Source organism: Homo sapiens, chromosome 6 (genome assembly GCF_000001405.40).
Source record: "Homo sapiens chromosome 6, GRCh38.p14 Primary Assembly".
In the NCBI taxonomy this organism is placed as follows: Eukaryota; Metazoa; Chordata; class Mammalia; order Primates; family Hominidae; genus Homo; species Homo sapiens.
The window spans coordinates 156,957,940-156,981,348 of NC_000006.12; the positions used below are offsets into that span (position 1 = coordinate 156,957,940).

The 23,409-nt window shown below is 39.1% G+C and overlaps 1 protein-coding gene across 35 annotated transcripts in view, besides 4 other annotated features; it reads left to right on the forward strand.

The window, feature by feature from the left end:
* ARID1B (AT-rich interaction domain 1B) overlaps window positions 1-23,409 on the forward strand; it is a 434,754-nt gene that overhangs the window by 181,914 nt on the left and 229,431 nt on the right. The gene's annotated exons all lie outside the window — the stretch shown is intronic.
* Window positions 136-265: an enhancer, noted in NCBI's record as "active region_25322". NCBI's record gives its function as "activates an Ori minimal core promoter by ATAC-STARR-seq in GM12878 lymphoblastoid cells {active_cell/tissue: GM12878}" and the evidence as "EXISTENCE:reporter gene assay evidence [ECO:0000049][PMID:35858748]".
* Window positions 286-335: an enhancer, noted in NCBI's record as "active region_25323". NCBI's record gives its function as "activates an Ori minimal core promoter by ATAC-STARR-seq in GM12878 lymphoblastoid cells {active_cell/tissue: GM12878}" and the evidence as "EXISTENCE:reporter gene assay evidence [ECO:0000049][PMID:35858748]".
* Window positions 476-525: an enhancer, noted in NCBI's record as "active region_25324". NCBI's record gives its function as "activates an Ori minimal core promoter by ATAC-STARR-seq in GM12878 lymphoblastoid cells {active_cell/tissue: GM12878}" and the evidence as "EXISTENCE:reporter gene assay evidence [ECO:0000049][PMID:35858748]".
* Window positions 4,763-5,403: an enhancer, noted in NCBI's record as "H3K27ac-H3K4me1 hESC enhancer chr6:157283836-157284476 (GRCh37/hg19 assembly coordinates)". NCBI's record gives its function as "activates a minimal SCP1, AML or CMV promoter by ChIP-STARR-seq in primed H9 embryonic stem cells {active_cell/tissue: H9 hESC(primed)}" and the evidence as "EXISTENCE:reporter gene assay evidence [ECO:0000049][PMID:30033119]".

A 23,409-nucleotide genomic window follows, 5' to 3' on the forward strand; every position in this document is an offset into this window, starting at 1 on the left:
GCCTTCCTCTTAGACTTAATTCATTCACTTTTTTAGTGCTCTACATGTTTAGAATTTTCATAAGAACTGCATTTTACATTCAGTATAATGTAGTTGGGTAGTTAGAATAATATGTTCCAAGATCTCTGATTCATTTGTCACCCGCCTTGCAAACTCAGCTTTGGCTTGTTGTCCACATCCATCCCACTGCACACGGCAGTCTACCATTTGTAGTCCAATCCATGCCTTCTGGCTCCATTTCCTGACATCAGGAGGTTAAAGACTAACTTGTTTTCTCCTAGTCACAGCTCCACACCTAGGAACAGCTTTTTCACTTTTAAACAGTTTATCTCTGTTCCCCCTACCCCCTTTAAAAAGAAAGAAAAACACTAGGAATGAGTAATACTGATTTCTCAGTATTTGTTTGATTCTGTGGCATACTGTACACTTCAGCAGCAAAAGTAGATGGTTGAGTTATATTGCTAGTTCTTACTCAGTCTATAAACCTAATTCGTTTTATTTATGATGGGAGAAGGAGAATTTATGAATTCATTTTGTTAAGCAATTCTTGAGCCTTTGTAGTGTGCTATTATGATGGATACACTCCTGGTTTGAAGAAATACAGAGTCCCTGAGATCGTGAAGCACTTTTCAGCAAATACATTTTGTTGCAGTATGCATTTACCCATCTTGTTGAAGGGCATTTAAATGTTGTCCAAATGTCTTAAGTATTTCTTTTGAATAATCATTATTTTTAATTATAGTCTGGATTTCTCTTTCCTCTTTTGTGAAATAATCGTCTTCCTCCTTCCTTTTGGAAAAGTCAGTAATCTGGGTAATTTCTGCTAAAAAAAAGCTCTATTAAAACCAAGGGGTGATTGTAGTCCAGTTAATGAAGCAAAGCAAAAAAAGATGAGGCCAGGAATCATACGGAGTTAGTTTACTAATGAAGCAAGGTACTTTTAAAAGGTAAGGAAAAATAAAGGAGCCCCTTTCTTTTCTTTCGATCTGGTCATTACCTGGGATTTTCAGTTAAGTGAAATCATTAACTACTCATATGTGCCTCAACCTAAACACCAAACCCCAAAGACTATTTAATTATCATACTTTGGTTAATAAGATTACAGGAAGGTTATTAAATGAGTCTGTGGGACTTGCCTAGAAAAGATGAAATGCAAAATGAAATGTTTTCCTCTATTGGGAAGACCACTTGGCTTGTGTTCTTTTTAATGGTTGAGCGTAGTATCATTCTGTTTGGGAAGGGTGAGTGTGGGAAAATTATGTACAGTCCTCAGTATCCACAGGGAATTGGTTCTAGGACCCCCACGAGTACCAAAATCGTAGATGCTCAAGTTCCTTAGATAAAGTTAGTAGTTGTAAGTAACCTACCATCCTCCTACATACTTTTTGTATCATCTCTAGATTACTTATAATAACTAATACAATGTAAATGCTTTATGAATAGTTGTTGTACTTTGTTTTTTAATTTGTATTATTTTTACTGCTTTTCCTCCCCCAATTTTTTATCTGCTATTGGTGGAGTCTGCTGACACAGAACCCATGGGTAGGGAGGACCAACCGTACTCATTCTGTTCAAAACGTCTTGCTTAATTCGGTCTGTTTATTGTTACAGTGTGTAGGGTTTTGTACTTAAAAATCTCTTAAAAGGAGGATCAGGAGGGTTGTAGTGTTCTATTATTAAAATATTTTTAATAAAATTTTATGAGAAGTCTTCAGAAACTGTGACTGTGTAAAGGTTGAATTGTCTGACTACATCATTTGAGTCAGAGTCCTTTTTAAATATATGACCAGTTTTAAAAATACAGATTCTTCCCCATCTCTCCCGGGTAAGTAAATAAAAAATATGTCCACCATCCCCTGCTGCCTTTCGATCCGTGGTGGCAGGCGGGAGGTCTGCACACCAGGCTGCTCTCTCTGGTTTGCTGTGCAGCTGCACCTGTGTGCTGGTGAAATTTTAATTCAGTATTGTCTGAAGATTGTCAGCTTCTTTTTTTTTTTTTTTTTTTTCTCGAGACAGAGTCTCACTCTGTCGCCCTGGCTGGAGTGCAATGGCGCGATCTTGGCTCATTGCAACCTCCGCCTCCCAGATTCAAGCGATTCTCCTGCTTCAGCCTCCTGAGTAGCTGGGATTACAGGCACGCACCACCATGCCCAGCTAATTTTTGTATTTTTAGTAGAGACGGGGTTTCACCGTGTAGGTCAGGCTGGTCTCGAACTACTGACCTCGTGATCTGCCCACCTCGGCCTCCCACAGTGCTGGGATTACAGGCATGAGCCACCACGCCTGGCCACTTGTCCCCTTCTTAATTTAAACCACGACCAAAACAGAAATTTCTGGGTTTTGATAGGGAACTGGGCTGTGTACATATGTCCTGCAGCATCTGTTTGTATGATGGACGTCCTTATTGACTCATAGTGCATTTCTCTGGACATTGATATAAGGGAATTATTGTCCTTAAAATAATTTATTCTAATTTATAGTAAAATAAAAGTATATTTTCATTTGGTATTTAGTTTAATCAGTAAAAAATAATGTGAATAAACTTTGCTTTTGACAAAGTATTGGCCTTAAAAGTACTATTTTTCTTTATGTATTTATTTTGTTTATGTGTTTAGTTTGAATGGGTTTGGGTATACATTCCTTTGAGTCAGTTTTCATGGTGCAGTTATTTGCTAGAGTCTTAAAAATTCAAGCAACAATTTCACTACTAGTCTTTGTATTTCATTTTTATGTACTTAAAGGGCAGTTCTAAAGTGAGGGAGAACCCCAAATTACTCTCTGCAATAAAAAACAACTGGTAAACTAGAATATGATTCAGATAGAGGAAAGCCACAGGGTTTTAGAATTACAGGCACAAAGCACTTTACTGTATTTTTTTTAAGGCATGAAGTTAGATGATTTTGTTGAGTAAAGAAGCAGAATTATTCCCTGTGCATTTTATGAAATAGAGTCCTAGGAAGTGTTTTCCTCTCTAGTTAAGGGTGCCATTTAAAACAAACAAACAAAACCAATGCAAAGTGGTCCACCTTTCTACCTTTTTAAAAAGGAAAAATCGTTGTAAAATGGAACATTGATTCTAAATTTGAAGATTTATGTGTTCCCACAGAAAAGGAAAGAAATCACCCTCTTGGGAAACAAAGAAACAAACCCCAAACCTCTAACCCAAATCCCTGAGCTTTTGCGGAGACAGACACAGCTTACTCCAGAAAGAAGGGTGCAGCTCAGCATCCCTAAACACTCCCAGGTGCGTGCTCTGCGACAGAGTGCGCAGGACACGGAGCTGCTTAATGGAAACCAATCCTGCAACACTGTACGTTTAGTCAGCTTTCTCTGTCAGATAACAGGCCTCCGTGCAGACTGTTCAAATGATATTTTGAAAATATGGTGTTATTCCACACAACTTTGAGGTGTGTAATTTTGGAGAGTAAAATGAAATCACCGGTCAGGCTGTTAAGGAGGTGGGGAAATGCCAACTTTGCCTCTTCCGGGCAGTGCTGTGGTGATGCAGCCTTGGGCCCCGCCAGCAGCGGCTTGCTGGCTGGCGCGGGGTCCTCTCCCGGGTCCGCTGCGTTGCGCGGGCAGGACAGTCAGGTGAGCACAGGTGGCTCCGTTCACCTGATCTTCAGCCCTGTCTCCACTCAAGTGTCTTCTTGGTGGAAGCCTGGTGGTCCTTAGCAGTACTGGGAGTATTTGAAGACTAGGCCAGAAGGGCAGGGTCGCTGTGTGAGCTGCGCTTACCACCTGTTGAATGTGAAATTGATACAGAGGTGGGATGTGCTGGTTGTTTCTTGAAGTACAAATAAATGGGCACACGGGGCTGGGAGCAACTCGTGTCTGATCTTGTTTATGATTAGTGTTTTGTTTACTGAGGAATGTATTTTTAAAAAGAAAATTTGTATTCTTTGTATTTCAAAATAAACATAATGTTGGGGTGGGGAGCAGCCTGCCACTTCTAATCTCTTCTAAGTCAATTTCACCATAACACTGACCCTATTTTTACTAGGGTCAGTAAATGGACTGATTTCTCTGATAGAATAATTTTACATATACACAAATACTCTTAAAAATACTATAGAAAGGCCGGGCGCGGTGGCTCACACCTGTAATCCTAGCACTTTGGGAGGCCGAGGTGGGTGGATCACGAGGTCAGGAGATCGAGACCATCCTGGCTAACACGGTGAAACCTCGTCTCTACTAAAAATACAAAAAATTAGCCGGGCGTGGTGGCGGGCGCCTGCAGTCCCAGCTACTCGGAAGGCTGAGGCAGGAGAATGGCGTGAACCCGGCGGGCGGAGCTTGCAGTGAGCTGAGATCACGCCACTGCACTCCAGCCTGGGCGACAGGGCGAGGCTCTGTCTCAAAAAAAACTATAGAAAGGTAAATGATAATTCAGCAATATTTTCCTCTTTTGCCTGTAATGTCTTTAAACAGTTATTTCTAAAAAGCTGTGTTATAAAATTTTATTTTTTAATTTTAGAAAAAGTTTTCCAGATGTCTGTGCCTGTGTCTATTTCTTTTCTCTTTTGGGGCGTGGTGGGGACGTGGAGGGAGACAAGGTCTGGCTGTGCCACCCAGGCTGGAGTGCGGTAGCACAATCACAGCTTAATCACAGCACAATCACAGCTCACCGCTTCCCGGGCTAAAGCGATCCTCCAACTTCAGCCCCCCAAGTAGCTGGGACTACAGGCAGGCACCACCACCCCCGGCTAATTTTTTTGTATTTTTAGTAGAGATGGATCTTCCCATGTTGCCAGTCTGCTCTTAAACTCCCACGCTCAAGAGATCCGCCCGCCTTGGCTTTTCAAAGTGTGGGGATTACAGGTGTGAGCCATCACACCTGGCCGATTTCTTTCTTTCTTTTTGAGATGGAGTCTCACGCTGTCGCCAGGCTGGAGTGCAGTGGCACGATCTCGGCTCACTGCAACCTCTGCCTCCTGGGTTCAAGCAATTCACCTGCCTCAGCCTCCCAGTAGCTGGGACTACAGGCGTGCGCCACCACGGCCAGCTATTTTTTTTTTATGTTAGTAGAGACGGGGTTTCACCATTTTGGCCAGGATGATCGCTATCTCCTGACCTCGTGATCCACCCACCTCGGCCCTCACAAGGTGCTGGGATTACAGGTGTGAGCCACCGCGCCCGGCCTCAATTTCTTTAGAAGTATTATGTAGTTAGTTATAGTTTATTTTGGTAGGTTCTGTTTGTTTTAGAGGGCTTAAAAGTCACTCTGTTTTGCCTGCACCGACTGTGTTTGTGTTGCATTTTTGCATCAAGTAATGAATTTAGATTTAGATTAGGGAGTAACAAAGAAGTCTGTTCAGTGATGTTAAGTTTTCTCTTTCTAAAAATCGCTCTACTGGTTATCCTAATCACATAGTTAATATTTTCATTATAAAGTTGAGAAGATTACTATTTTCTCTTTCTTTCTCTGTGTGTATTCGTGGATAATTTCTTTTAGAAGAACAGTCGTATTCTATGTACTGTTTTTATTATCTACTTGGAAATTGTAATTTCTTGTCAAATACAGTTAGTTGCGTAGGTCATTTTAAATGATTGCATAGTATTCATATGGAATAAGCCTGTTTAAGAAAATATTAAAGAATCTAAATAGACTGTGTAACTAAGTGTTGCTTAATTTAGTTGTCTTTTTTGTTATATTAATCTTTAGTGTTCAGAATGATACTTAAGCGTTTAAAAAATTCTAAGTAGTATTTATGAAAATGGATCAAATGCTACATAAAATCAAAACCATGGAAGAGTTTGTTTGTTTTGTAATCAAATAAATCTCCTGAAACCAAAACAAACTTCTCCTCTCAGTATATTTATTTGAAATTCTTCTTGTTTACAGAAATTGTGTAATATTTATCTTGCACAACAGAAATTTTAAATGTGCTTATGAGGTAGCAGTCCGAGAGGCAGGACATACAATAATCTCTAGCATGAACTATGCCCACGTGGCTTAAGTTTGGATTCTGGAAACGGTTTTCTGTTCCCTTTTCTTTAGTATGAATATGTGCTTGCCAATTGTGGAAAGGAGCTGATTAATCGCACTTGAAGGAGAAATTCTTCTCCACTGCTCGTTTGTTTCAGTTTCAGAATCTCTCTGTCACCCTTGGAAGCAGTCACAAGGATTCTGCCCCTTGGCCTGCAGTTGTGGGGGATGTTGTCCCCAGCCTTCCCCAAAGCCTGTCATCATGGACTCAGCTGCATGCCTTATTAACTCATCTTGCAACCTTTGGCTTGTCAAGACGATGAGCTGTCAAAGCTCGCAGTGACATCAGTAGTATGTGACTTGAATGGATATACCACATATGCTGAATCAGCTCTTTTTCATTCTCTTTGACATCAGAAAAGCAGGTGCTAAGTCTCATTTTGAAAATTTATTGGTATCTGTTGCAGACACTTTAGAGACCACTCTGTTTATCAGACTAATAGCCAAAGGGAAGCTAATAGAGTGTTTTGGCATTTAAAGCCTAAAATTCTGCTAATTTCTTCTGGAAAAAAAGTCCCGTCATCCCTCATGTGCTGTGAGACCACAGAAAGGCTAATTTAATATTCTATGTAGGGAAAATCAGGATAGGATTATTTGAGAAATTTGTGGTTTTAAATTCTTTTATGATGGCGTAATTTTATGCGTATACTCAAGGCCATAGAATGTTATGTATGTGTATAAAAGTTGAAAGTTTGGAATCATTGATTTTACAAAAAAGAATATAGATTTTAAAACCATCTTTTTTTGACAGCTTAACCTCAGTTGAAGTATGGATTCTCTTAATGGAAAAAATTTATTTTCATTAATATTTTAGCATGATTTAACACTAAGGTTATTATATAAGTCTTATATATGTGATCTGTAAAGGTTTTGTTTGAGATATTTGGGGGAGAATCAGCCTTGGTTCTTTTCTATTTTAGCTTGTAGGAAATGAAAAATATATAAACAGTCCAAGTATCAATGTAGATGAGGTGCTAAATAAATTGTAATGAGCACCAGAGGACATAAGAATGTGTTAATCTCAAAGCCGCATGATGGTTTTTGTGTTGTGAAAGGTTAGCTTTTCAATTGTAAGACTTAATTACCTTTCAAATGAATATTTCATAGAGTTACTTTGTCATTGAATATACAGCTACATAAGTATTCTCTTCCCTATGTCCTGTATGTTGTTTATCAGTAGTTTGAAATTTAGTTATTTCCTCTACTTTTCTTTTGCATAGAGCAGCTGGGATCAAGAGTTTCTTATTTTTATTTTTTAAACACAGTTTTTTAAAGCTTCAAAGGAATAACATAATTCTGCAGTGCTTTCCCTGTCATTACTTTGTTGATGCCTATCTGGAATGTGGTTGCACAGTTTATTTCATTTTCTAAATTTTCTAGGCTTGCCCAGGGTTTTCCACCCTTCATGAAGGCACCTGTCTTCCTCCAGATGTGCCCGTTGTTCTGAAGCAGCTCTTTCTTGCTCAGTCTTCTCCACTTTATCCTTAAAAAGTATGGAAAATGGGTGTCACTTAAGAAAAGTCACTGTTTGTTATTCGATGACTGCTCTGCCTAGTTTAGTAGGCGTTAACTGAATAAACTAAGTCTGCACTTAATCCGTGAATGTGTATTAATAGTTGTAGAAAGAGTAGATTAAACACATATTAAGTTTCAAATAAAAACCTAGTGGTTTCAATTTAGGGAAAAATTTGTTATAATACAAATATGTACAACCATTAGTAGCCTCTTTTTCCAGCTCTTTTATATTTAATGTGGTTTTGAAATTTTGGAACCTAATGGAGAATTGTAGTTTGCTAATTATTTTGGGGGGCAGTTTGTGAACAATAAGATTTTTTTATTGTTAGCTCGATTGTCCAAAAGTCGTATTTAAATATACACTTGTACTTTATTGCAGACTATGAAAAAATTTATTAATCATTAATAAATTCTGAGACTTTTCAGATTAGACTTCTGAAATTTTGTCTTTAAGTTGTGGGCAGTGTATACTTGTTTTAATTACTAAGATGTATTATTTGTGTATTTACATACCTGCTTTGCTTTTATTTTCTTTTAATGAAGTACCAGCACAACCACATGAGATCTCTGGCCTCATCACAGGGACCACAAGTTCTCATAGAGAGCTAAGATATGTAGGATGTTTTGCCTATTTTCTTTTCAATAAGTGGGACTGGCCTTTATCTGTATGTACTGCTAATTTATCATTCAACAAGACAGGCCCACAGCCAAACAAATTCTGATTAACCATTTCTTGCTTAACTTGAAATTTACATTAAATTCCTATAAGTGTGCAGATAATACTTCAATGGTATATCGCAGTCCTCATATATAAGATTTAAGAAGGCATACTTTAAATTTTTGTTTATTTTCTCGTTTTGGTAGTGTAAATGCTTAGAACCAGCATTTCAATTTAAGGGAAAATCACTACAATACAGACATAAATAACTTTTCTTTTCTTTTCTTTTTTTTTTTTTTTTTTTTTTTTGAGACAGAGGTTTACCCTTGTTGCCCAGGCTGGAGTGCAGTGGTGCGATCTTGGCTCACTGCAACCTCCGCCTCCCGGGTTCAAGTGATTCTCCTGCTTCAGCCACCCAAGTAGGTGGTATTACAGGCACCTGCTACCACGTCCGGCTAATTTTCTGTATTTTTAATAGAGATCGGGTTTCTTCATGTTGGCCACGCTGGTCTGGAACTCCTGACCTCAGGTGATCCACCCGCCTCGTGCTCCCAAAGTGTAGGGATTACAGGCATGAGCCACTGCGCCTGGCCATAAATAACTTTGTTTTTTTGCTTTGAGACGGAGTCTCGCTCTGTCGCTAGGCTGGAGTGCAGTGGCGCGATCTCGGCTCACTGCATCCTCCGCCTTTCGGGTTCAAGCGTTTCTCCTGCCTTAGCCTCTCGAGTTGCTGGGATTACAGGCATGTGCCACCATGCTTGGCTAATTTTATATTTTTAGTAGAGATGGGGTTTCTCCGTGTTGGTCAGGCTGGTCTCGAACTCCTGACCTCAGGTGATCCACCTGCCTCAGCCTCCCAAAGTGCTGGGATTACAGGCATGAGCCACCATGTCCTGCTATAAATAACTTTTAATAGGCTCTTTTTCTGGCTTTTTCTTTTAGTAACTCAGCCCATTTTCTTCTTCTCAATCTGGTCTTTGTTAATGTTGATAACGCTGTCTTACTTTTAAATTGCCGTGATTAGAAATTACTAGAGATATATAAACCTAGTCTTTTGGGGGATTTTGAAAGGGTCATAGTATTCTTACTGTCTTTCAAAATGTACCTTATATTTGAACATTGGAAGATACGTGTTGCTGAATACAAGTTAGTTTCATACACACACATACACATGGCCACATACATACACATATCCACACATACAAATTCACATGCAGTCTTTTCAGATAAAAATATTTAGCGATATTAAGACACAAATCACCATAGGAAATGTCATTAAATAGATATGAAAAAGTCATGAAGATAAATTAGCTGTCACCAATGAAGTTAATGATTAATTTGGAAATGGGTTTTTTTCCTCCTGATGCTTTTGTCTTTTGACTGATTTTCAATGCTCTGTAAATGATGAGTGAGAGAAGAGGAGGAGGGAGAGAATGTGTGTATGTTTGTACATTTGGTACGTAAGATTTGTTTCAGTGCTTTTAAGACAGAAGAATATTAATTTGCCCTATATATTCAATTTGAAATAAAAATTTCCAATCTGTTATGGTTTACCTTATATATTATATTCATTGTTATTATCATGAAAATTTAAGCTTTAGACTTTTCTGAATGTATTTAAAGTTATTTGATCTTATTAATGAGGTCAAATTATTATTTTTTATAACGTAGACTTATATTTGAAACATAGATGCTGTATGAACCTCCTTTTGGGGGTTTCTGTGTATATTGAAATTGGTGATAAGATTTGCAAGGAACTTTGGTTCATTCAGTAGGGAGCCCAGTTTTAAATTTTACTTTTCTTTCAGTTAAGTGAATTTTTGTCATTGATATATGCAAAGTTCAGATTTGTGTAGACTTTCGGGGTACTGAATTTGTTTCCTGTTCATTCAGTCCTAGGAAGGAATGTCCTTTTCTCCTCTTAGGTCACACGTGACCTTTCCCGGTCCCTGTCTGCAGTCTCTTTCCTGCAGGGAGCTGTCTCCCCTTCATGTAGCCACTGTCCTTGAGCTTTAACCAAGCATCTGTAAGCACCTCACCTGGACTCTTAACGCCTCACCTGGGAAATGATTATTGTAAACTGTTGTTTTGGTAATACTGTTTGGTAGCCAGCATTTTAATTTTAGTCTATTGTAAATTGACACAAATATTTGAATATTTTGTTCATTTTGCCATTTTACAAAAAATGAGAAAGGGGAAATTGAGAGGAACAATATTAGTGATGAAAATATCTATATCTGAAAAATGTAATGTAAAGATATGAAACACTTGGGGAAGATGAATGCAGAAAATCTTTAGTCTGAAATTGACTATTCATTACCCCTTAGCAAGAAAGTAAATCCCCATTGAGCATTATGTTTTAGAATGGAAAATGTAAATTAAGCCTTTGTTTTCCATCATCATTCTCATCGTCTTTTTCATGCTCTCTGGTGGCAGAACCCCACCCAGCTCCCACTGATTTCAGCTTTTGCTCTTTGGTTCTGTACATGCTTTTAGAAATACCCATATGTGAATGGAGTATCACCCGGAGTCTCGACATGCTCATCACCTTCAGTGGTTATAGGATTGTAGTCTGCTGGGGTTAGTTGGATCTGGGTTTGAATTCTGGTGCCACCACTTCTAGCTCTGTCACCTGAGCAATTCATTTGACTTTTCTGTTTGTTTTGCTGGAAATGGGAGTCAAGGCTCCTTCCTCACAGGGTCATTGTCAGGATCACCAGAGATCATGTACTACAGTGCCTCAGTGAATGGTGGTGATTTTTGTTGTGAATGGTTACTCTGGCTTGAGGTTGTGTGCTAGCTGCTTGGAGTGAAGGGCGCAAGCCCCTGGGAGCAGGTCTCTTCTGTGAGTGGAGCCCAGGTGGAGAGGTGGCCCCAGGGAGGTGCTCCACATGCGCACAGTTGCACTGTTGAAAAGGATGGCTCACTTCCAGTACAATGGGTTCTGTTCATGGGTTGAAACTTTCAGAGGCTGAGGATTTAACTTCAATTTACTATATTTCTGGCAAATGCATTCCAGGTTCCAAACAATGTGACCTTGCAATGGACTTGAGTAGCATAACTTATTTATAAATTATTACCTCAGTGGACACTGAGTAAAGACATATCTTGCTGTTTATGTCTCAGGAGATTTGTGTTTGTGTGTATGTGTCGACAAAGTTCTCCAGAAAATATTCCATATGAATGCAAATCGCAGTTCAAAATCAGTCTGTTAGTCTGGGCTTAACTTGTACCCCTTTCAGCCCCAGGATCGGTGGTGGTGGTTCCCTGTTCAGCCGTGTTGCATTTGTACTGCAGGCTCTCCCCATGAGTGCTGGTATCTGTCTTAAGACAACCAGCTAGAGGAAGGAGTGCAGTCTGGGTTCAGAACACACAGCAGAACTCACTGTTTAAGCTACTGAACACATGGTAGACATGGCGAGCCACATTTATTTGCATTTACTGAAAAGAGATGTCACAAAAACATTTAAAACCTTCTAATACAAGAATTACTGTACATCTAATATCTGTAGTTACCCAAGAGCCAAGCTACTTAACCACTTTCAACCTTATTCCAATGGTACTAGCTTATAACTGTTAATCTAGAACTCTAGATGTTAGACTTGATTCATACGAGCTTTATATGGCCAGGGGAACTTAGACTCTGGAACACTTATTAAAATAGAAGTTTAAAAGCATACTTCAGTATTACATCCCAATTTTCTAAAGAGAAGACACTGTCTAGTAACTTAGAAGGCTCAATAATTTCAATTTGTTTTCTTCTGTCTTGTTTATTTCTTATTATATAATGCTTTTTTTTTTTTTTTTTGCATTGACTGGTATCAGGTAAACCAGCACTAGATTAAAGCAATTCAGACTTGAAAATTAATGTTTACCTTTTCTGTGTCAATTAGTGAACTGTAGAATGTAGAATTTGTATTTAATTATTAAGAATAAAAGCTTTGACTTTGTTTTTTTTGTGTGTTTTGTTTGTTGTTTTGTTTTGTTTTGTTTTTTGAGATGGAGTCTCACTCTGTTGCCCAGGCTGGAAGTGCAATGGCATGATCTTGGCTCACTGCAACCTGTGCCTCCTGGGTTCAAGCAATTCTCCTGCCTCAGCCTCCTGAGTAGCTGGGATTACAGGCGCCCACCACCATACCCGGCTAATTTTTTGTATTTTTTAGTAGAGATGGAGTTTCACCATGTTTACCAGGCTAGTCTTGAACTCCTGACCTCAAGTGATCCACCTGCCTCGGCCTCCCAAAGTGCTGGGATTACAGGCATGAGCCACCTTGCCCAGCCAAGCTTTGACTTTTTAAATAAAAAATTTTTAATCAAAAATTGCTTTTGATTTTTGTCTTTTAAAAACAGTTTGGCATTTCACTCTCTTCTGTCACACTTGAAATGTGCTTTAACTATTTAACCAAGATTACTGAGTCTGCTATGATGTTGCAAATTTTGGAACATTAAAAACAATTTGTTCAAAACTATTTTATTCCTATTTCATTAATACTGCCAAATTTTTATGATTAGTAAACAACACTCAAAAGAGATAATTCTTTTAGGTTATAGAGCAACTGTCTGTGGGTCATTGGAAAAGGAATGCTTCAGTGCCCAGCCTTCCTTCTGCATTGCTGTCCCAATCTCTTACCTGCTCTGCACTCACTGCTGGGCTGGAGCAGGTGACTGCCTTTTGCCCTCTGAATGACAGCAGCTGATGTTTGTGGTTGGAGAGGGGGCCCATCTTATGCTGGACTCAGTTCTCTCTCAGCCTAGCTTTGCCAACCCTGGATCTCTAGCAGGGAAGCAGAATTCTCCCCAGTGTGCTGTTTGCGTGAAAGTATAGGTCTGATCTTCTTTGGGTCCTATTTTACCCTCTGCTGCCAGCTTCTGCAGCCGGTGGAGCCCTGATGCTAGTCACCCAAAGAAATGACAGGTTTACTGCTGTGTCCTCATTCATCTTCATCCTTCTTGAAGTTCACAGTTGATGAAATTTTTGGAAAATTCTTTATAATTAAGAGTAATTACCAGGGAATTAAAACTGAAGGGTTTTTGTAGATTTGGGGCTTTGGATTCTAAAAGACATGAATTCATACATTCTTGTTTCTGCTTTTACTTTCCTTGTGGTCTTGGAAAAAATATGTTCTTTTAAATTGCAGCGTTATCTGTAAAATGAGCCTGCTTTCCTTATTGATAGACAGATTACATGAACCAATTGAACAAAGAGCTCAGCATAGTGCCTTAATCAATTTAGTCCCATGTTCTTCAGCCTCAAGTTATTTATCTTTAAAATGGGCATAATAACATATAACATTATGTAACAGAGATGTTGAAAGAACTTTGTGTGTGCACGCACCTGTGTGTGTATGCAGAGAAAATATCCTAACTAGATACATTAGACAACTGTGGATGGGCTTGGGAGTGTGTTCCTTTACTATTGCTATACTCATTTGGAGGCTTAAAACAACATCTGTGTATTATTTCATAGTTTCTATGGCTCAGGAATCTGGGCAGGCATACTGAATTCTCTGCCCAGAATCTCCTAAGGCTGATATCGGGGTGTCAGCCGGGGCTGTGATCTCATCTAGGGCTTGTGGGGGTTCCTCTTCCAAGCTCCTGTGGTTGCTGGCATAATTCATTTCCTTGCAGCTGTGGAGCTCATGGCACCTTGCTTCCTCAAGGCCAGCCAGAGAGTCTCTCTGATCCCTCTTTAAGGAGCTCTCCTGCTTAGAACGGGCCTACCCACGATAATTTCCTTTTCGATTAACTAATTAGGGGCCTTAATTATATCCTCAGAGTCCCTTGACCTTTGCTGTATAACATGGTTTAATGGTAGGATTGCTATCCCAACACATTTACGGGTCCTTCCTGCACTTGAGGCTCGAGCGCCCTAGTGTTTGTACCCAGAGCCAGGAATCCTGGGGGACATCACAGAATTCTGCCTACACACAGAGTGAGCATGGGCTGGGAAGGACATAGGTTTCTTAGTTCATATAGTTCTGTATTTAAACTTTTTAAAAATGGTATAATACATAAAGGTTAAAATAGTTCTTTTTATTTTACTTGGTATGAGATTCCCCCAGAATTCTCAAATGAAAATTACAAGACATAATTCTGGAAGGAATTTTAGTTAATGTATACTTAGTCACAATAGTCGTTCTCAAACAGTGTCAGGAGTGGACAATCAGAAATAAAGCAAATGGTCTAGGCTTGTGACCTTATTTAGCTGTGGGGCAGGGATTGGGGCCAGCCAAAGGCCCAGGGGTGTCCAGTGGTTGCATGGTGGCACCTGTGCTGAGGGCTGGACGAGCTGTCCACTTTATCCCTTCCCCTGTGCCCACAGCTTTTGCTTTTCTGAGTGTAAAATTGCACAGATCTACTTTATTAAGAATATTTATTTTAATTGGATTGTGTCACGTTGATGAAGGATTTTTCTTTAGTTACCAGTGGAAGATGAACATTTAGTAAGCATGTGAACATAAATTTGGATAGCATGGTTTGAAATCAGAACCATAAGCACGTAATGCTTTTCCATTATTATTGATTAAAATAGGAGGCTTCGTTTCTGTCTCACCTTTTCAGTTAAACCCTCATTCTCCCCTTGGTAATATGTGGGATTCAGGTGTCAGTCTTTTCCAGCCAGAGAGACCTGCAGGACTTAGAAATCAGACTGATTACAGTTCTGATGTTCCTCTTTAAAACAAGCCATGTGCTAACAAACCAACCACCAAAAAGGTGGTCACTTTTTAGAATTTTGCTTAAAATTTTCCAGTAAAAAGACATTTTAAACTTTCAGTTTCTTTGTATTTTGATTTTATTGAAAGAAATAAAGTTAAAAAGTCATTTCAAGTGATACTTTGGTTGGTATCTGTTAATAGTGCTGTTGAGGATAGTTAACACATGGTAGTTTAGTATGTTTCTCATTGTATTATATAAAACCATATATAGTAGTTTACAGAGTATAGACTATGTATAACAGACTAATAGTCTCACATCATATAAGCAAAAGCCTAAGACTTTGTGCCGTGCAGTACAGTAGGCACTAGCTACTTGTGGGTATTGTGCACTCAAAAACTGGCTAGTAATTAAGGGACTGAATTGTACATTTATTTTATTTTAACAAATTTTAGAAATCTAAATAGCTACATGTGGCAGTCATGTTGGCTCATATTGGACAGCACAGATTATAGAACCTTTTTTTTTATTTTTTGGTAACAGCGAGTTCTTTAGAACTGTGCTGGTGTACGCATACGTAGTTTATAAGTTCCTATCATGAAGCAGTAACTGTTAATAAATGATCTTTGACAGCCCTTCTGATTCTCAAATTCTGTGCCATATCGTTTGCTATAAATTACTTTTTAATGCATTTTAATAGCATATGTAGGGTTATTTTACTTGTGAGTTTCTAAGCTGCTCATCTTCTGCATGTCTTTTACTGCTATGCAATGAAAAACATTTTTGGTTATTGGTTTAAACAGAACTTAGTTTTTAAGCATCACAGAATTTCCATATCAGATGGGAGTTGGAGGCAAATGAAATAAATAAAAGAAAATTCTATATTAGTTTACTTTTTAGCCCTCCAAATCCTTCCTGCTCTCAGGAGAACTGAGACTTGATTTGTTTGTCTTGAAAGATGGAACCACAGGCAACGCCCCCACTGTGTCCCTGCCCCCACTTATTTTTGGTTCAGTTTGACTTACCAATTTATTTCAATATTTACCGAATTTATTTAAAAATTTCCTCAAAGACATTTATTGGCATATATCATTCTGATTGTGGTTTTTCCTTCTTCAAAACCTCTTGATTGTTCAGGTTAGATTTTATGTGACCTGAATAGAAGTTCTCTCTTTGTCTGAAAACTTTTTCCTTGTGGAATGGTTTTCTACAACATTTTGCTAGGCTAATTTAGGTGTGATTTCCCAAAGGGCATCTGACTTGAAAACATTATTCATTCAGGTCTGACAATGCCCAGGATTTTAGGAGAGAGAAAGAGAGAGACTAGGGAAGAAATGAAGTGAAAACTGTAGTTTAGTTTTGGATTTTGAGTTTTTACTATTTATATTTCATTTATATCTGTGTACATTTTATTTTTTTAATAGCCTGAATAAAGATGTGCAATTTAAACAAGTTCAGATTGCCTACAGTTCAGGATTTTTAAAACACGTAGATTATTTTGGGAGCTTTATCTTTATAAACCTTGTAATAACAAAACCACGTGAGTACCAGAATCATTTCTCTTACTTAGTTTCTTGCAAGGGAAGCATTATTGACTCTTCTTTTTGCAGCAAACCAACATTTAAAACACATTGAATGATAAATAAGAAATAATCTTGTTTGGTTAATGTACCTGAAAAGCCAATTGTGTAGAGGTAAAGAGGAAACTGTTGTAATTTTGTTTAAGATTGGAGAAGAAGAGAAAGGTTAAATTGTTCCTTGAAAACATAACGCAGAACCAAAAACCCCCACATGTACTCTCTGACATCTTCTTCACACAAGACATATTTTATATTAATGAAATTCAGATAATTAAAAATCCAAGTGTAGGCATAGAAAAATCTTTACTTTTTCTTAGATACTGGCAGAGTTGTTTTAACTCAGTGAGAAGCATCACATGGAACAATAGAATTTATTAGCTGTTTGTTAAATTGTTTTAGCTGCTACTAAAATATATGCTTTCACTTATCAGAACTTACTTTCAAGTTCCATTACATCCTTCACATGCAGTATATGAACTTTACAGCAGCACACACTGTCTCTCCCTTCTCTGCCTTTTTGCTGTTGTTGTCATACATTCAGTATCTCAATATTTTATAAACACCACTACACATATTTATTTTATCTACCATTTGATGGCCATTTGGGTTCTTTCCACTTTTCAGCTATTTTGAATAGTTCTGCCAGGAACAGTCATGTGTAGGTCTTTCTGTAGACATATTTTCAGTTCTCTTCAGTAGATACTTAGAAGTGGAATCTGCTGGGGGTGTGTGATTTTTGTGTAACATTTGAAGAAACTGCCACACTGTTTTCCAAATGACTGAACCATTTTACATTCTTATAAGCGGTGTTCCTCTCCACACCTCACCAGCACTTATCTTTTGTCTTTTGCATCGTGGCCATTTTTGTGGATGTGACTGGGGTTTTAATTTGCATTTTCCTAGTAATCAATGATGTGCATCTTTTAATGTGTGCATTGGCCATTTATACACCCTTTTTGGTGAAATGTCTATTCAAATATTTTGCCCATTTTAAAATTGGAGGAGTTTTGTCTTGAGTTTTAAGGGTTCTTTATATATCATGGATATGCATCTTTTATCATATATATGATTTGCAGATATTTTCTCACAGGCTGTGGTTTATCTTTTCACTTGCTTAAAAGGTGTCTTTTGAAGCAAAAAAATACCTTTAATTTTGCTGAAGTCCAACTTTACCATTTTTAAAAATCACTTGTGCTTTTGGTGCGAAACTGCCTCATTTTCAAAAGACATTTTTTTCCACCGGATATAGAATTTTAGTTTGACTGTATTTTTTTTTTCTTTTTTTTTTTTTTTTTCAGTTCCTTAAAGATACTGGTCCACTGTCTTCTGGCTTTCATTGTTTTGGCAAGAAGTCTTTTTAATTTTATTGTTCTTGATGTAATGTGTTTTTTTCTGACTCCTTTTAAGATTTTTCTCCTCTTCCCCCCATCTTTCCATGCCACCACAGTGGTGCATGTCACGAGCGTCCATGTGAAGAGACCACCAGGCAAGCTTTACGTGAACAGTAAAGCTTTTTTATTTCACCTGGGTGCAGGCGGGCTGAGTCCGAAGAGTCAGCAAAGGGTGATGGGATTATCATTAGTTCTTATAGGTTTGTGATAGGCGGTGGAGTTGGGAGCAGTTTTTTTGTGGGCAGGGGGAGGATCTTACAAAGTACCTTCTCAAGGGTGGAGCGGGTGTATCGTACAAAGTACATTCACAAGGACGGGGGAATATCATAAAGTACATAAGCGCAAGGGCTGGGAGGGGGTGTATTGTCACAAAGTCAATTGATCAGTCAGGGTGGGGCAGGAACAAATCACAATGGTGGAATGGCATCAGTTAAGGCAGGAACTGGCTATTTTCACTTTTGTGAATCTTCAGTTGCTTCAGGCCATCTGGATGTATATGTGCAGGTCACAGGGGATATGACGGCTTAACTTGGGCTCAGAGGCCTGACAGTGCACACGGATGTCCTGGCTGACATTCTCAAGAGCATCAACAATGCCGAAAAGAGGCAAACGCTAGGTGCTTTTTAAGCTGTGCTCCAAGGTCATTGCCCGTTTCTCACTGTGATGATGCAGCACGGATTATGCGGGGTGGAGTTGGGGGGACTTCCTGGGCCGGGGGACTTTTGCAAGAGACCCCGGTGACTCAGGATTTTGAGTTCTTAACCAGTCGAGTGAAGGATTCAAAATTAACCACTCCAAGGGAGGATTGAAAAAAGAACCACTCTCAGTGGACAAAAAGAAAGAAAGGGGAGAGGGTAACACAGGGATATAAGCCCTAGTCACCCGAGCCAGCAACGGCAACCCTTCTGGGTCCCCTTCCACCACGTGGAAGCTTTCCTTTCACTTTGTTCAGTAAACTGCGCTGCTGCTCACTCTCCTGGTCCGTGGACTCTTTTTAAGCTGTAACACTCACCGTGAAGGTCCGCAGCTTCATTCATCAAAGTTAGCGAGACCACAAACCCATCGGCAGGAAAAACTCCTAACTCAGTTACATTGGCAAATTTGAAATCATTGATGATCACAGAGCTGGGAAAATTGTTGTGAACCTCACAGGCGGGCTAAACAAGTGTGGAGTGATCAGCCTCAGATTTGATGTGCAACTCAAAGATCTAGAAAAATGGCAGAATAATCTGCTTCCATCCTGCCAGTTTGGTTTCATTGCACTGACAACCTCGGCTGGCATCATGGACCATAAGGAAGCAAGATGAAAACACACAGCAGGGAAAATCCTGGAATTCTTTTTCTAGGGATGTAATACATATTTACAAAAAAAAAAAAAAAAAGATTTTTCTCTCTCCTTGGTTTTAAGAAATTTAATTATGATGGGACTGGTGTGGTTTTCTTTGTGTGTCTTTTGGTTGTGTTTTATTGACTTTCATATCTGTAGATTTACAGTTTTTATCAAATTTGGAAAAAATTCAAGTCAGTTTTTTTCTTCAGATATTTATCCTGTCTCCTCTTTTTTTTTTTTTTTAAACAGCAGCTCTAACTAAATATATATATTAGACCTACCCTGAAGTCTCTTTCTCTTTGTGTTTTATTTTTCCTTTGTGGGCTGTGTCTTCAATTTCAGGCTTATTCGTTTTCATTTAAAAATTACCATTAAATCTATCCAGTGAAAAAGTGAAAATGTATTTTTTACATGCATCATTAAAGTTTATAGCTTTAGAAGTTCAATTTGGGTTATTTGATTTGGTTTCCATATCTCTACCTTAAGATGCACATTTTTTCTATATTTTTTGAACATGTGGAATATAGTTACACTAATTTAATATTGTTGACTTTCAGTTCCATTGTCTTTGTTGTTCTGTGTACATTTCAATTGACTGATTTTTCTCTTCATTTGGGGTCTTTTGTTTTTGTTTGCTTTTGTTTTTGTTTGCTTCTTTGCTTTCTGGTAATTTTTATTGTGTGCCAGACATTGTGAATTTTACCTTGTTGATGACTGGGTATCTTTCTTTTTATTCCTATAAACATCCTTGAACTTTAGTCTGGGACCCAGGCATATTACTTGGAAACAGCTTGATCCTTTTGGGTCTTACTTTAAGCTTTGGGAGGTGGGACAGGGTAAGCAGGGTCTGCACTGATTCTGCCCACTTTTCGGGCAGATTCCTCCCAAGGGCTCTGCGTGGTTTTCCCTCTCTGGCGGGTGGGAGCAGGAACTCTTCTGTGTGAGCCCTGAGGATTCTTCTTCTAATCCTTTTGGGTGCTTCTTTCCCCATCCTCACGTGGTTTCTTCACACACACAGGCTGAACGTGACTCTGCCGAGTATGGGAGGGAAGACTGCCAATACCAGGAGCGTTCTTGTTGGGTGGCTTTCCCTGTCTCTTACGCTTCCCTGAAAACACCATCCTCTTATTGACCTCTGATTCCCAGCTCCATTTCCAGACTCTGCCTGGTTTCTGCTCCCAGCACCTTGGCCTGGAAATGTGTTCCAGGCAGTTTGCTGGGGCAGTCAGAGGGTTCACCTGGTTTGTTTCCCATCTCTCAGGGACCAAGATCCTTGTTGATGGTCAGTGTTTTGAAAATGATTGCACCACAGATCTTGTCCAGATTTTTATTTCTATTTTTTAAGGGGGAAATAAATGCAGTCCCTGTGACAGGAATGAATATTAGGAGAATAGAATCTAACAAAAGGGAAACAGGATTTTGATTTCTTCATAGCTGTTATGGACAGAATTTGTGTATCTTCCTTGAGTTTTGTTGAATAAACATATGGAAGTCCCTTTATACAGTGTAGAATCCATCTCATCACCATGAAAACCTTTGTTCTTGTGTGATATAAATTATTAGAGACTGTTTTGTGTCGTTATACAGAAGTTATTTTTAGTATGTTGTTTTGTTAGGTGGGTCTTTACTTAAAATCTCATTTAGTTTCATGGTAGAGTATCTTTGTTAGTATGATTCAAAAGAGAATATAATTTGGGGTTTTATTAGTGTAAAAAGAATTACCATAAACTTTACTTTCCAGTAGACTATATTTAAATGTGATATATTACTTTTTCTAGCCACATACTCTTTTAGCCTTCAATATAGCAGAATCAAAGTATGTTATTCCATTTGTTCCAAATTTCTCTCCATTTTCTATCCAGATGGCTGCTGACTCAAATGTATATGATAATACATTTACATTTTTTCAGTTAAGGCTGATAAATCCATTTTAATGCTATTGAATTGCTTAATGAATAAAAGATTTAAATGTGTCGTCAGTGCTTATGTTTCTGTAAAGTGAAGTATCCTGAAAGCGCTAGTAGTGCTGATAAAGTTTCCAGATTGTGATTTAAGAACTTTTCTGTTTTGCAGTTCTGTTATTACTGTTTCTATACTTACCAGGTGACAGAGTCATTTGAAAGTTCTCAGTTGACAAGGATCTCAACCTTGCAAAGAATATATATATTGTGCATGTAATACAGTACAAATCTAAAGTAACTGCTGAGATGCCTAGGTGGAAACTTACCTTTCTAGGTCAGGTTCCAGTGAATCTTGTTTTCCTTATTCAGAATATGGTGTTAGGTGAACTGACTCAGCTTTAAACTCTTCATATCCTGCCATGGGGAGAAATTACCTGCCCCAGTGATGAGTTTGGGAGGACAGGACAATGCTGTTTATATTCCTTGCTGCTGTGGGAGTATTGGAAATTACTACTTGATCTACCTGAATTTGAGCTTGGCAGTGGTCCAGGGACATTAGTGATTTGCATGAAATATAAACATGAATTATTTGAATCAGCTGTTGCTGTTTTTTTTTTTTGAGACAAAGTCTCGCTCTGTCGCCAGGCTGGAGTGCAGTGGCTCCATCTCAGCCCATTGCAACCTCCGCCTCCCAGGTTCAAGCGATTCTCCTACCCCAGCCTCCTGAGGAGCTGGGACTGCAGGCGTGCATCACCATGCCCAGGTAATTTTTGTATTTTTAGTAGAGACGGGGTTTCACCACATTGGCCAGGATGATCTCTATCTCTTGACCTCTTGATCCGCCCACCTCGGCCTCCCAAAGTGCTGGGATTACAGGCATGGGCCACTGCACCTGGCCTGTTCCTTCCTTTTTTAAAATTATTTTTATTTTTTGAGACAGGGTCTCACTCTTTTACCCAGGCTGGAGTGCAGTGGCGTGATCATAGCTTGGCTATGGCTCGGCTTCCCAAAGTGTTAAGATTACAGGCATGAGCCACCACACCCAGCCTGGTCCTTCCATTTAAACATTGATTGTAATGTGGCCTTTCCTTTTTTGCCACCTAAGTTAAAAGACTTTAAGGAAAGTATATGTAAAAATTTAGCATTTGCCATTAAACATTCATTAAAATTTTTTGTAATGCTTAGATCCGTAGTCATAGTGTCATTGTAATTTGCTAAGTATATGTGGAAAAGAATCATTGAAGGTCGGGCGTGATGGCTCACACCTGTAATCCCAGCAATTTGGTAGGCCGAGGTGGGTAGATCACCTGCGGTCAGGAGTTCGAGACCACCCCGGCCCACACAATGAAACCCCATCTCTACTAAAAATACAAAAATTAGCCGGGCGTGGTGGTGGGCGCCTGTAATCCCAGCTACTCAGGAGGTTGAGGCAAGAGAATTGCCTGAACCTGGGAGGTGGAGGTAGCAGTGAGCCGAGATCATGCCATTGCACTCCAGCCTGGGCGACAAGAGCCAACCTACATCTCAAAAACAAAACAAAACAAAACAAAATAAGAATCATTGAGCTCCTTTCTGTGTGCCAGTCAATGTGCCAGTCATTGGGGATACAGAGATGAAACCACGCAGTGCTTTTCCCGTAGGAGGAGTCCGGTTTAGTGGCAGGGCTACTCGTAGACAGTGCCGTGTAAAATCGCCTGCACTGTTGTGGCTGAGGATCTGCAGGAGCCTGAGCAGGGATCCCTGGAGTGGAGGGACGGCCTTTGAGACAGTGGAGGGACCCGTGCAGCAGCCCGGAACCCGGCAGTCTGGGGAAAGGCTGGCAGCTTTCAATGTACCCAGGAGCTCAGATTTCAGCCTGAGGCAGTGAAGAGCCCTTGACATACAGAAGAATACACAGATACTGGTTTATATTTTTAGGGAAAATCTTTTATTATTTTAGGGAGGGTCACAGAAATTAAGTCATTTTCACTTGTTGGAAGAAACAATTTCATGATAAATCTAGTTAGTGTTTATTTTGTTGTTTACATTGTAGCATAAACATCTGTGTAATCATGGCAGGTAAGTGAAGCCACTGTTTTTGTTGGTTTAACTCATGACTTAGCAAAAACTGGAAAGGTATTTCATTTCTTGAGACTTGTAGCCACTGTCCTCCCTTGTCTACTTCTGAGGGTGAGCAGTGCTGGTGTGACTGTTAGAAAGCACTGACTTAGTCTCTTCCTCTAAGATTGCTCCAGGTCCACATGACCTGTGGGCAGGATGGATGATTGATGTCTTTCTTTTGAGGGGTGGTAGTGAAGTAGAGCATAGGGGATTATTAACCACCTAGGTAGCTGGATCAGGCAATGGAGAGTCTCTGCCGTTCTTCACATCGAGTATATAGAATTAAGCATT